Below are 12472 nucleotides of genomic sequence, written 5' to 3'. Positions count from 1 at the left end.
GGCACCAAGAACATACATTGGGGAAAGAGTAATCTCTTCAGTAAATGGTGCTGGAAAACTGGATATTCATGTACAGAAGAATAAAACTAGACCCCCCACTTCTCATCCTACAAAAAATCAACTCAAAATGAATCAAAGACTTTAGTAAGACCTGAAACTGTAAAACTACTAGAAGAAAACATATAGAAAGCACTTTGGGGCATTGGTCTGAGAAAATATTTTATGAATAAGGCCTCAAAAGCACAGGCAACAAAAGCAAAAGTGAACAAATGGATTATATGAATCTAAAAAGCGTCTACATAGCAAAGGAAGCAATCAATACAGTTAAAAGACAACCTACAAAATGGGGGAAATATTTGCAAAGTATACATCTGACAGGGAATTAATATCTAGAATATACAAGGAACTCAAGTATCTCAACAGCAAAAAAAAAAAAAAAAAGGGCAAATGATCTGAATGGACATTCCTCAGAAGGAGATATACAAATGGCCAACAAATATATTTTTAAAATGCTTAGTGTCACTAATCATCAGGGAAATGCAAATCGAAACCACAGTGAGGTGTCATCTCACCCCAGTTGGCCCGGCTATCATCAAAAAGACAAGAAAGAACAGATGCTCGTGAGGTGTGGAGAAAAGTGAACTCTTACACACTGTTGATAGAAACGTAAACTAGTACAGCCACTATGAAGAACCATATGGATGTTCCTCAAAAAACTGCAAATAGAACTACCATATAATTCAGATACTGAGCATTTATCTAAAGAAAAGGAAATCAGTATCTTGAAGAGACCTCTGCGCAGACCCGCATGTTTATCACAGCACTATTCACAATAGCCAAGATATGGAATCAACTAGGTGTCCAACAACAGATGATTGAATAAAGAAAATATGGTATACACAATGGGATACTATTCAGCCATAAAAAAGTGAAATCTTTTAATTCAAAGCAACATGGATGGGACTGGAGGACATCATGTTAAGTGAAATAAGCCAGGAACAGAAAGTTGAACATCACATATTCTCACTCATATGTGGAAGCAAAAAAAATTTGACCTTTCATCAGTAAAAAGTAGAACAGAAGATATTAGAGGTTGAAAACGGTGGGGGAAACGGGAATAAAGAGATACTTGCTAAAGGATTCAAAATTACAACATAATAAGGGGAATAAGTTCTAGTGTTGTATAGCACTGTAGAATGCCTATAGTTAACCATAATATATAGTTTCAAAGAGCTAGAAGGAGGATATCCAGGGCTGGGTATGGTAGCTCGCACTTGCAATCCTAGCACTTTGGGAGGTTGAGGTGGGAGAATTGCTTGAGCCCCTGAGTTCACGGACCAGCCTGGGCAACACAATGACTAAGGCTAAGGCTGAATAAGGACAACAGAGAATTCTGGCCTGCTCTTCCCTCCCCAACCAGCCTAGCAAATATTGAGGAAGAAATAACAGCAGTTTAAGTGCAAGGGAGAGGCAAGAACAAACAGAGTGAGGCTTGCTGGGCCTTAGGCACAAAGACAAGACCGAATGCTAATGGTGAATTAGACATTGTCTTAGTCCATTTACATTTCTATAAAGGAATACCTGAGACTGGGTAATTAATAATAAAGAAAAAATGTTTATTTGGGTAACAATTCTGATGTCTGAAAAAGTTTAAGATTGGACATCTGAGGAGGGCCACAGGCTGCTAATACCATCTCTATTAAAAAATTAGCAGCTGGGCGCAGTGGCTCACACCTGTAATCCCAGTACTTTGGGAGGCCAAGGCAGGTGGATCACCTGAGGTCAGCAGTTGAAGACCAGCTTGGCCAACATGGCGAAACCCCGTTTCAACTAAAAATACAAAAATTAGCTGGGCATGGTGGCGGGTGCCTGTAATCCCAGCTACTTGGGAGGCTGAGGCAGGAGAATCATTTGAACCCAGGAGGCAGAGGTTGCAGTGAGCCAAGATTGCATCACTGCACTCCAACCTGGGCAACAGAGCAAGACTCCATCTCAAAAAAATAAAAATAGTTAGCTTGGCATGGTTGCACATGCCTGTAGCTCCAGCTACTCAGGAGGCTGAGGCAATCCACATTCCTAGGCCCCCTGGTCCTAGTATGAAAGAGAAATGCATTAGCCAACATTTTTTCAGCCTTATAGAAATGCTACATAAAACTGGGGGAGTACTAAATGGGCAGATAGCAGCTGATCCCAGTGTCCTAGTATTAACATTTTAACATGTCATACCTTAGCAAGCCTTTGGTATTTATCCCATTCTCTCTGAACCACATTTTGTCGTTGCTAGCTCTGAGGTCTAGATTTAAATCTCAAAAGCTCTAAAGCCTCTTGGGCATCTGTTCTTTTTGACTATTTGACTGTATCTCTAGATGCTGAGCCTGGTGATGATCCACCCTCTGCCTGTTGATTCCTATCATGTGTAGGAATCAGTTTCTGCTCTCCTGCTGCCTCCACATTACTTGATATCCTCCCTAAGAACCAACCTTTCCTCCTCACCTACTCAACTGTGTTGTCCTGCCTCAGCACATTACTCCATATCTTACCAACATTGTAGAATCCAATTATGTTGGTCCTTTTTGGCTAACATCATCATTACACCACAGTAACCCAGTCCTATTTGAATCTTGAACCACAAGAATATACTAAGGAGAACAAAAAAATTAGGGGAATATAACATCCCAGCAATTTTTAATTATGAGATAATAAGAACTATAACATGGGACAGACAGTAATTCTGCTATTCATTTTTTCTAGACTATATCTGTAGCAGGCAGTGAAGCATGTCTTTTTTTTTTTTTTTTTTTTTTTTAAATAATTGGTAAGGGTGGGCGGTTGCATTCCCACAATATATCACACTGCAAGTCCCTGACATGCCTTTCTTTCTGGCTGCTCTAAACTGGAAGGAACTCATTTATTGCTATTATTATTGTGATTATTATTGATATTGTTTGTGACTTTATTTTTCTGTTTCATTAGCATTAACTAAAGGGTCCTGGGCTTTATCTAGGTAGAAATCTAGTCACAAGGTAGGTATAATGTATGCCCCAGGCTCTCTGACAGCACAAAAGCAGAAGTTCAAATGAGAAGACATCAAACATAATTTTTCTAATTTGTAAGGACATAAGAATGCTTTGTGATTGTCCAGCTTCAGATAACAGGTGGGGAAGTCACTTGAGGACCCACCAGGACTGGGCATAATGGGGTTCTCAGCCCAGGTCAGGACATTCATCTATAATCAGGGAAGCTTGTGATATAATTAGCAGGTAAAAGAAGGGTGACAAGTTCAGTTTAGCAGCAGACAGGATGTGGGTGGTCCTGTGTTTCAGAGACATGCAAGAGTGAGAATAACACCCTATTAACCAGAGGAGAAGAAGAATTCCTATAGGATATGTGAAGGTGAAGAAATAAGACTAAACATGCAGAAACCAGATGAGAATGTATGACCAATATTGTTCTTCACAAGAGATACTTTTGCATCTTGAAGTGGTGGAAAGAATATTTTTTCTAGGAATGAGTTCATCAGGGTTCTAATCCAGGGTTTGTGCTTGCATAATTATATGTCATGGAACAATCTACCTCTGCCCCTCTTTTGGTTATAGTTTCTTCATTTGCAAAATTAAGAGTTTGTACCACATGGTTTCTCAGTTCTCACTCCCCTTTCACATGCTGCCATGCTACTCTCCTGACTCAATACAGTTCTAGAACATCCCTTTTCCGTGCCTTCAGAGCTTATTTACATGCATGGCCATATGCACGCATGCACACGTGGACACACACACACAGCTGAGGCAATCATTTCAGGGATACATCTTGTTTATTCATAACCCAAATTGTATCTCTAAGTCTGACCATTCACCTTATTTCCATCTTGGCTTCAAGTGGCTTTTAATTTTCCTAGAAATTAAATCAGATATGGAATCAAATAGCTTTTACTTAAATGCTTACTATATGCCAACATTCTGCCAGAAAGTTTATGTCCATTTTGACCATTCTCATATTATTAAAGACACATGAGACCAACAATACTACCCCCCCTTAATAAAGGAGGAAAACAAGGTTTAATATTTTGCAAAATTGTACAACTGCAAGGGATAAATATATTTTAAATTATATTTTCTAACTACAAATTAAAGAATAAAGACTTATTTACTGATATTTATCAATATCTTAGAAATATTTTAGTGCCTACTGACAATTTCATCTCCAGTATGACATTCTCCCTGTCTATTTCAACTCTCTCTTCAGAAGTGATTGTTCTACCCATTGAGAATGTCTCCTATGTCTCCTACCATCTCATCATCTTGTACATGATTCCTTAAAAAAAAAAAAATCTCACTTCATTACCCAGGCTGGATTATGATGGCACCATCTCAGCTCACTGCAACCTCTGCCTCCTGGGCTTAAGTGATCCACCTACCTCAGCCATCCAAATAACTAGGAGCAGGTGCATGCCAGCAGGACTTGCTATGTTTTTTGTTTGTTTGCTTTTTGGAGCTGGGGGAGTAGAGACAGGGTTTTGCCATGTTGCCCAGGCTGGTCTCGAACTACTGGCTCAAGTGATCCGCCCACCTCAGCTTCCTAAAGTTCTGGAATTACAAGTGTGACCCACCTAGCCTGGCTGTTACATGATTCTTATTCAAATGTGAGCTCCCTGAGGACAGAAATTACATCTTACAACTTATCTGGAGTCCCTAGTACAAATCACAAAACCAAGAAAATTATAGGTGCCCAATAAAGAAGAGATGAATAACTGTAACTCTCCAGTGGCCTAGTTATATTCAAAGGTATATAAAGTTAAATTCTATTGTTTCTCATATGTGCTTAGCATCTTTCAATGAAAGCTATAAAAGAAAGCAGAAGTCCCAACATATTCATTGCAGAAACGTGAAAGAAGATATGAAGGTGAAGATTCTGATCATCTCTTTCTCTCTGTTAATGGGGTGGTGAAGGACAGAGCACAACACACTGTACTTAATGCAGATTCTGTTCAGTGAAACAATGATTACAATCAATTTGACTACTAATGTGACTTATCTTGTAAATTGCTGGGTCATTAACTTCAACAACATCAATGTGCTGTCACTATCCAATTCCACCAAATTAGTGTCCGAGGTAATAGGAGGACAAATGTATTAGTGCATTATTGGTGGCTAATAGAGATGGCAAGTCTTTAATGTGCTGCAGAGAGCAGCTGAGGCGCCAGAGACCAAGACAACAAGGCTAAGAGAATGTGTGAAGAGATCAGAATCTAGGGCATGGTGGTGCATCAGGGCTGCTGCAGGGACTTACCTGCCCTCTTTTCCTTGGTGCCTGAGATGGCAGAAGAGCTGGGTACTGGGGAGATCTCAATCTATGGCAGAAAGAGGGAACATTCCCACTTGGGGCAAAAATTCTAAAAGGCATAGCACTGGATCATCCAAGAATAATGGGCCTGTCTTAAAGTCAGATTCTTAAAGCGGGATGTTTTCCTATCAGCCCTGCAGTCACAGAATGCAGGGGAGCACATACTCACGCTGCACACTCAGGCGCATTCCTCATAACCTTTAGATTCATAACCTGAATCTAAAGTCGTCATAGCAATACCAAGCTCTATCCTGGAAGTTACCATTTATCCTCCTTCTAGGGGGATTTGTAGTGCATCTGATTTCTGCATTTGAAAGGAAGAGTATTTTCTCCCAGTTATAAAAGTTTTGGCATCAGGAAAAAGGTGGATAAAAGCCAACATCTTTCATGACGATCCTGAAACCTCACCCTTCTCTACCTGCAAACAAAGATTACTCTAAAAGTTTGAACTGTTTAGGAATTGTTTTAGATTTTTCCTGAATTCGTGTGTTTTCTTTACCTTCATTAATATATAGGGCAGAAAACCATCTTTGTTGATTATATTTAGGTTTCAGTTAGTTTATTTTGGAATGTGCTCTTGTCCCTTACCTAAGGAAAAGATCCATTAGTATGTTGAGACTGAACATTGGCAGATGTCAGTATAATCAATGCATTTGTATCATGAGCAATTATCTATATCCAAGACCTATTCTATACAAGGTTTGTAGCATGTGGTGAAGCCAGCTGTCACAAAGTGTATCGCTTACAGTCATTGAGTGTGATAGATATAACTATTACATGTATTGTGGCTTAGGGCTTAAGGTTGATCCTGAATAGATTTTCCACATCCTAACAAAGAATTACCACCACAGAGGCTGCCACAAGGTGACAGATATGGCTCAGTATAGCTACTTGCCACAACCGATTAGACATATAGAAATTATAACACATAGATGCAAAGTTTTATAAAATTATTTATTGGGAAATAGCTATATATTCCAGAGGGCTGCAAAAAAAAAAAAAATGTACAGCGAAGTTCCAGTGCACCATTTCCCCAGCCTCTTCCAATATTAACATCTTACACAACTCTAGCACCATAGTAAAGCCAGAAACCCGATATTAGTATAATCCATAGTTTATTCATATTTTACCAGTTATAGATGGTAAATCTATAACCCATTTGTGTATGTTGAGGGATGCAAATTTACAGTTCTATGGAATATTATCACACATGTAGCTTTGCATAACCACCACCACAATCAAGACACTCGACTATACCATTGCCACGAAGATTTCTCTTGTGCTATCCCTTTATAGCCACACTCACTCTTTCCTTCCCCAATATCCCTAATCCCTGGAAACCACAAATTTATTCTCCATCTCTTTAGGTATGTTATTGCATGAAAGTTACATAAATGGAACCAATACATGTCCTTCTGAGACTGGCTTTTCACTTAGCATAATTTTCTTGAGGTTTGTCCAAGTTCTATTTCTCAATAATTTGTTTCTTTTTCCTGCTGAATGGTATTCCATGGTATGTATAACCACAGTTTATTTAACTATGCACCCATTAAGGGATATATAGGTAGTTTCCAGTTTGAGATTATTATGAATAAATCTGCTATGAACATTTGTGCACATGAAAATAAGACTTTATTTCTCTGGAATAAATACCCAAGACTGAAAATTCTGGGTGAATGTTAAGTAGATTTTCAGTGTTGAAAGAAACTGCCAAACTTCTGAAGTAGCTGTATCAGTTTACATTCCCAACAGCAATGTATGAGTGATCTGGCTTCTTTGCATCCTTGCCAATATTTTCCCTTGCCATTATTTTTCATTTTAGCCATTCTGATAGGTATGTAGTGATATCTCATTGTAGTTTAAATATACTTTTCACTAATGGCTAATGATGCTTACTATCTTTTCACGTGTTTACTTGGCATCTGTGTATCCTCTTTAATGAAATGTCTGTGCATGTTTTTTGCCCATTTTCTAGTTGGATTTTTAAAAATATTCAGTTTTGGGACACACAGTGCTTTTGCTTTTACTTCAAGCCTTGTATTTGGAAGATAATTTTAAAAAATATTTGTATACTGCATTCTTGATAAAATTTAATCTTGACCTGGTTATTCTTTAAAAAGTGATGTACAGTAATAGGCACTCACCTGTTTTCCTTTGCATTCACTTAGTAAATACCTAATGAGTAACCTGCCTACTTTCATAATTAATCATGTACCTCAATTATATTTTGAATCTCTAATTAATTGGTATGTCGCTCTACAATCTACTGCATCCTACTTCTCCAACTTCATCTTTCACTACTCTATCCATTGACTGACTGTTGTGCTTAATTACCTTCAACTTCCAACTTCTCCTCAAACACTCCATATCTTTCTTGACTCTGCATTTAAACAAGCTGCTTTCTCGGGATGGGATAGCTTTTGCTCCTTTCTTCATGAAGAAAACTCCTACTTGAAGATCCAGTTCATATATCATCACCTCTATGAAACCTTCTCCAAATCTCCCCAGTCCTTTAGTCACTCTTACTCCATTTTGCTTGACCCTAGGTTACAGCATTTACCTAGCAAGCTTTTTGATGTCTCAAATGACAAAATTTTCACAATAACTTCTGGCTTTCTTCCCCTGTAAAATAGCTGACAGGGCACACTGAAAGTAGGAGGCTGGTACCCTCTGCCTAGTGCATACCTTGGTCCTGAGAACCGACTGTGTGTTCCCAGGTTTGGTAGTTGAACTTTTTCATTGTGATTATGTAATTAAATCATGTATTAAACTGATGATATGAGTGTGAAAAATAAGGGTTGTTTTTCTGAAAATTATGTTAATTGGTCTGGAAAGACTTGATAAAAGCAAGTCAAATTAGGTATGAGTGAAAAATTATACAAGAGTGGAGGTAAAAATAAAACATTCTAGAGGTATTCAGAATTCAGACTGTTTTGATGCAAATATTTTTAACTTTTCACTCTTCCTCAAAGCAAAAACACTAAAATTAGAAATTGAATATAATGCATTGTAGACATGGTTTACATAAAAAGACCATGTAAAACACCAGCTATTGAACCCATACGCAAAAGGCATTGATATTACATTATAATTGATTAATGATCATTTTAAGCTAAACATACAGTATTTATAGCATTAGCAATTTTACAATTCTTTTTAACTTTCTCAATACACAAAATACTGGTTCAGATTATATCAGTCGACATGGCTTCTATTATGTTTTCCATTGAAGCTTATCATTCAAAAAGCCTTTTTGTTTACATGCTTCTCACTAGATTGAGAGCTCCTTAATGTCAGGAACCTGGCATTTTGCCTGACAAATCATGAGTACTCAATAAATTATTGCTGAATGAATGAAAAGAAATCTGTAAAACAAATTTATAAAAATCAAAAGAAAATTGTATCTTATGATCTTCATGCAATTATTTAATCCAATTCAAAGAAGTTATCAGTTTCAATTATCAATAGTCAGTTCAGAAGAGTTCATTCTCTTTCTTCTTTGCACAGCTCCACATGCCCAACAGAATTTGGACCTCTTTGATGGTGTTAGCTAGTCTTGCTAACAGTATGTATGTGTGTGTGTGTGTGTGTGTGTGTGTGTGTGTGTGTAAAATATGGACCTATAAATTTAACTACATCTTACTATAAAAAAATCAGCCTTTCAACATAAAGATATTCTGTTTCTTAACTATTATTATTTTTCTACACACCTTCTGTAAGATGGTCGTGATATAGCTTAAAATAACCTGGATATCTAAAATGAAACATTTTAAAAAGCAAGCCTAAATCCAACCCTACGAATTTCATCCAGAGTATAGTGTGTTACTCATAAGCCAATTTTTAATCTAGACAGTTGCTCCAGGCAGCATCCATAATATCCATGTGCAATCCAACTAGCTATGTTAAGTGTTTTGCGTCAGCTTTCCACTAAGTGACAGAAACACCTTCAAGCTCTGAGGGGTCTCCTTAGCCCCATCATTGGTCCAATTAACATAGGATAGAAAAATTGAGGGTGCCTTTTTTTTTTTTTATCTCTACCTCTGTCCAAGTGATTTGATTAGCCAAAGATTTTTAGGATCTCATTGCAAAAAGCAATTAAAAAAATGAATGGGGCCATGCATTTTTTATCGTTTTGGCTCAGCTCCTGTTCTTACTTTCTTATACAGGAGAACCAGTGACACAATCCACCTTGGTATGAGTGTCAGCCATCTTGTCTTTCAACTGGAAAGCTAGAAGTGACAGCATGGTATATTAAGAGGTCTCTGCTTGAATAAATTGATGTCAAGTTTTATTACATATAGACCAAGCTAGAAGGCACAAGACAACCACTCAACAACTATGTATTAAACAACGAAATCAACGAAATGGCATACAGCAGTATTTCAAATTCTTGAAATACAGATAGGGACAGGCAAAAACTGTATTCTCTAGAAGGCTGAAGTCAGCCAAAGAAAATGCACAGTAAACACAAATCGAGATATTTATAAGATCCTTATGGTGTTAAAAGCAACTACTCTCTTGTCTTTATGGGTTGGAACATGGGCAAGATTCTTCAGAGATATCTCCTAGAAGCACTAAGACTTTCTAGACATTTAAAGAAACATAGAGCTGAAATAGAGTAAGCCTGAGGAAGTGGCTCATACTCATGACTTAGTTTAAGAAAGAAATAAATGAAATAAAAAAAATTTTCAAGTAAAACCATTTCTCGGGATGGCATAACACAAAGATACAAATCAATACCACTAGCATTAAAAAAAAAAAAGTGTAACTCTTACTACATTCTAGAAGAATATTTTTTTCAGACTAAGGGTTGCAACCCAACAGAGAATTGCAAGATCACTATTTAAAAAAAAAACATGAAGCAAAATAGAATAGAAAACATCAGAATATCTCACATGTAATAAAGGTAGATATTTCTTTGTTTCAATTATGGGTATGTGAGGCACTGGATTGGAATATAAAAATATATTCCTATGCACCGTAGCAGAAGAAATTTAAAATATTGCTCTAAGAAGTTCTTTGCAAACTTGGCTAATAATCAAAACTATCTAAGAGCTATAAAAATATACAATTTTTCAGGTCTCCTTGTAAGAAGAGGTCCAGAGATCTGTGGAGAATGCCTCAGAAAATGCTACAAACCATGAGTCATTTACTCTAATTAGAATGAGCAGTGAAAAAATTAACAGTAGTGAGAAAGCATGATACAACCTAAGCATCAGGACCCACAAGCAGCATTAAAGAGTCATGAGTGTGGGGAGAAGTTCATCACAGAAGACCATTAGAGGAGATTCAATGAACACCTGCCACAAGCAGTATTTGATGATATTGAAGGCATTGCAGTTTAAGGAGGAAAAGATGAAACACTTACATACAAAAAGCTTGATGCTTCAAGATATTGTTAATGTCATAAGTACCAAGAAGTGAGGAAAAATAGGATTTCAGGACAGAGTCCACCAGGGATAAACACATGAAGGAGATAAGACTTGCCTTGGCTGAGCCTTGAAGAATGATTCAGACAAAGGTTTCTTGGGGGAAGGGAATCTCTTCCTTAAATTGTACACTGATTGCTGAGAACAAAATAACATGATAAGTGGTGGTGAAGTAGGGAAAGCTAGTGGAGGAAAAATAAGAAAATGAGTCAGAAAGGTAGATCTGGATGGAAAATTCAAACAAGATGAGAAAAATAAATGCAGGCAGGACAATTAAGTTTTCTATTTCTTCTCTTGGATTCTGCAACAAAATTATACATAAATATTTTTTTTAAAAAAAGAGAATCCAAATATATTTTCTAAAATACTTGGCTGGAAGAGGCTGGGAGCTCAGGTTTAACTGATGGGTTTGGAAAGGAGATTTTGTTTTAAGGCTAAAATAAAAGTCATACATATGGTGTTCCAGTACTGGTTTTAGTATCCTCCATTGCAGCAATTGTTCTCAACCTAGAAGAAGCTGTGAGCTTTTAAAATTCTCAATGCTTTTTGCACATTGATTCTGTATCCTGAGATGTTGCTTATCAGCTTAAGGAGATTTTGGCCTGAGACAATGGGGTTTTCTAAATATATAATCATGTCATCTGCAAACAGAGACAATTTGACTTCCTCTCTTCCTATTTGAATGCCTTTTATTTCTTTCTCTTGCCTGATTACCCTGGCCAGAACTTCCAATACTATGTTGAATGGGAGTGGTGAGAGAGGGCATGCTTTTCTTGTGCCTGTTTTCAAAGGGAATTCTTCCAGTTTTTGCCCATTCAGAAGGATATGAACAGACTCTCAAAAGAAGACATTTATATGGCAACAAACATATGAAAAAAAGCTCATCATCACTGGTCATTAGAGAAACGCAAATCAAAACCACAATGAGATACCATCTCACACCAGTTAGAATGACGATCATTAAAAAGTCAGGAAACAGATACTGGAGGGGATATGGAGAAATAGCAACACTTTTACACTGTTGGTGGGAGTGTAAATTAGTTCAACCATTGTGGAAGACAGTGTGGCAATTCCTCAAGGATCTAGAACCAGAAATACCATTTGACCCAGTAATCCTATTACTGGGCTTATACCTAAAGGATTATAAATCATTCTACTATAAAGACACATGCACATGTATGTGTATTGCAGCATTATTCACAATAGCAAATATTTGGAATCAACCCAAATGCCCATCAATGATAGACTGCATAAAGAAAATGTGCCACATATAAACCATGGAATACTATGCAGCCATAAAAAAGGATGAGTTCAAGTCCTTTGCAGGGACACGGATGAAGCTGGAAACCATTTCAGCAAACTAACACAGGAACAGAAAACCAAATACCGCATGTTCTTACTCATAAATGGGAGTTGAACAATGAGAACACATGGACACAGGGAGGTGAACATCACACACAGGGGTCTGTCATTGGGTGGGGGGCTAGGGAAGGGATAGCATTAGGAGAGATACCTAATGTAGATGACTGGTTGATGGGTGCAGGAAACCACCATGGGACATTTATACCTATGTAACAAACCTACACATTCTGTACATGTATCCCAGAACATAAAGTGTGTGTGTGTGTATGTAAGTGTGTGTGTGTGTGTGTGTGTGTATATATATATATATAAATAAAATCCCAGTGCTTAGGCTCCTCCCC

The 12472-nt window shown here is 37.4% G+C and overlaps 1 long non-coding RNA gene across 2 annotated transcripts in view; it reads left to right on the top strand.

The window, feature by feature from the left end:
- Positions 1 to 12472, top strand: part of LOC105372091 (uncharacterized) — an 87209-nt gene that overhangs the window by 16215 nt on the left and 58522 nt on the right. Inside the window, exon 3 of one of the 2 annotated variants that reach the window (XR_935421.3) lies at positions 9507 to 9831. The exons of the other annotated variant lie outside the window; for it this stretch is intronic. This is a non-coding gene — a long non-coding RNA (uncharacterized LOC105372091). Of the gene's footprint in view, positions 1 to 9506; positions 9832 to 12472 lie in introns of those variants that run through there. 2 annotated transcript variants of the gene reach the window in all.

The sequence above is a fragment of the Homo sapiens genome, chromosome 18 (assembly GCF_000001405.40).
Source record: "Homo sapiens chromosome 18, GRCh38.p14 Primary Assembly".
NCBI classification, from domain to species: Eukaryota; Metazoa; Chordata; class Mammalia; order Primates; family Hominidae; genus Homo; species Homo sapiens.
The sequence above is the reverse complement of the archived record's forward strand: the minus strand, read 5'-3'. Positions and strand labels throughout refer to the sequence as shown.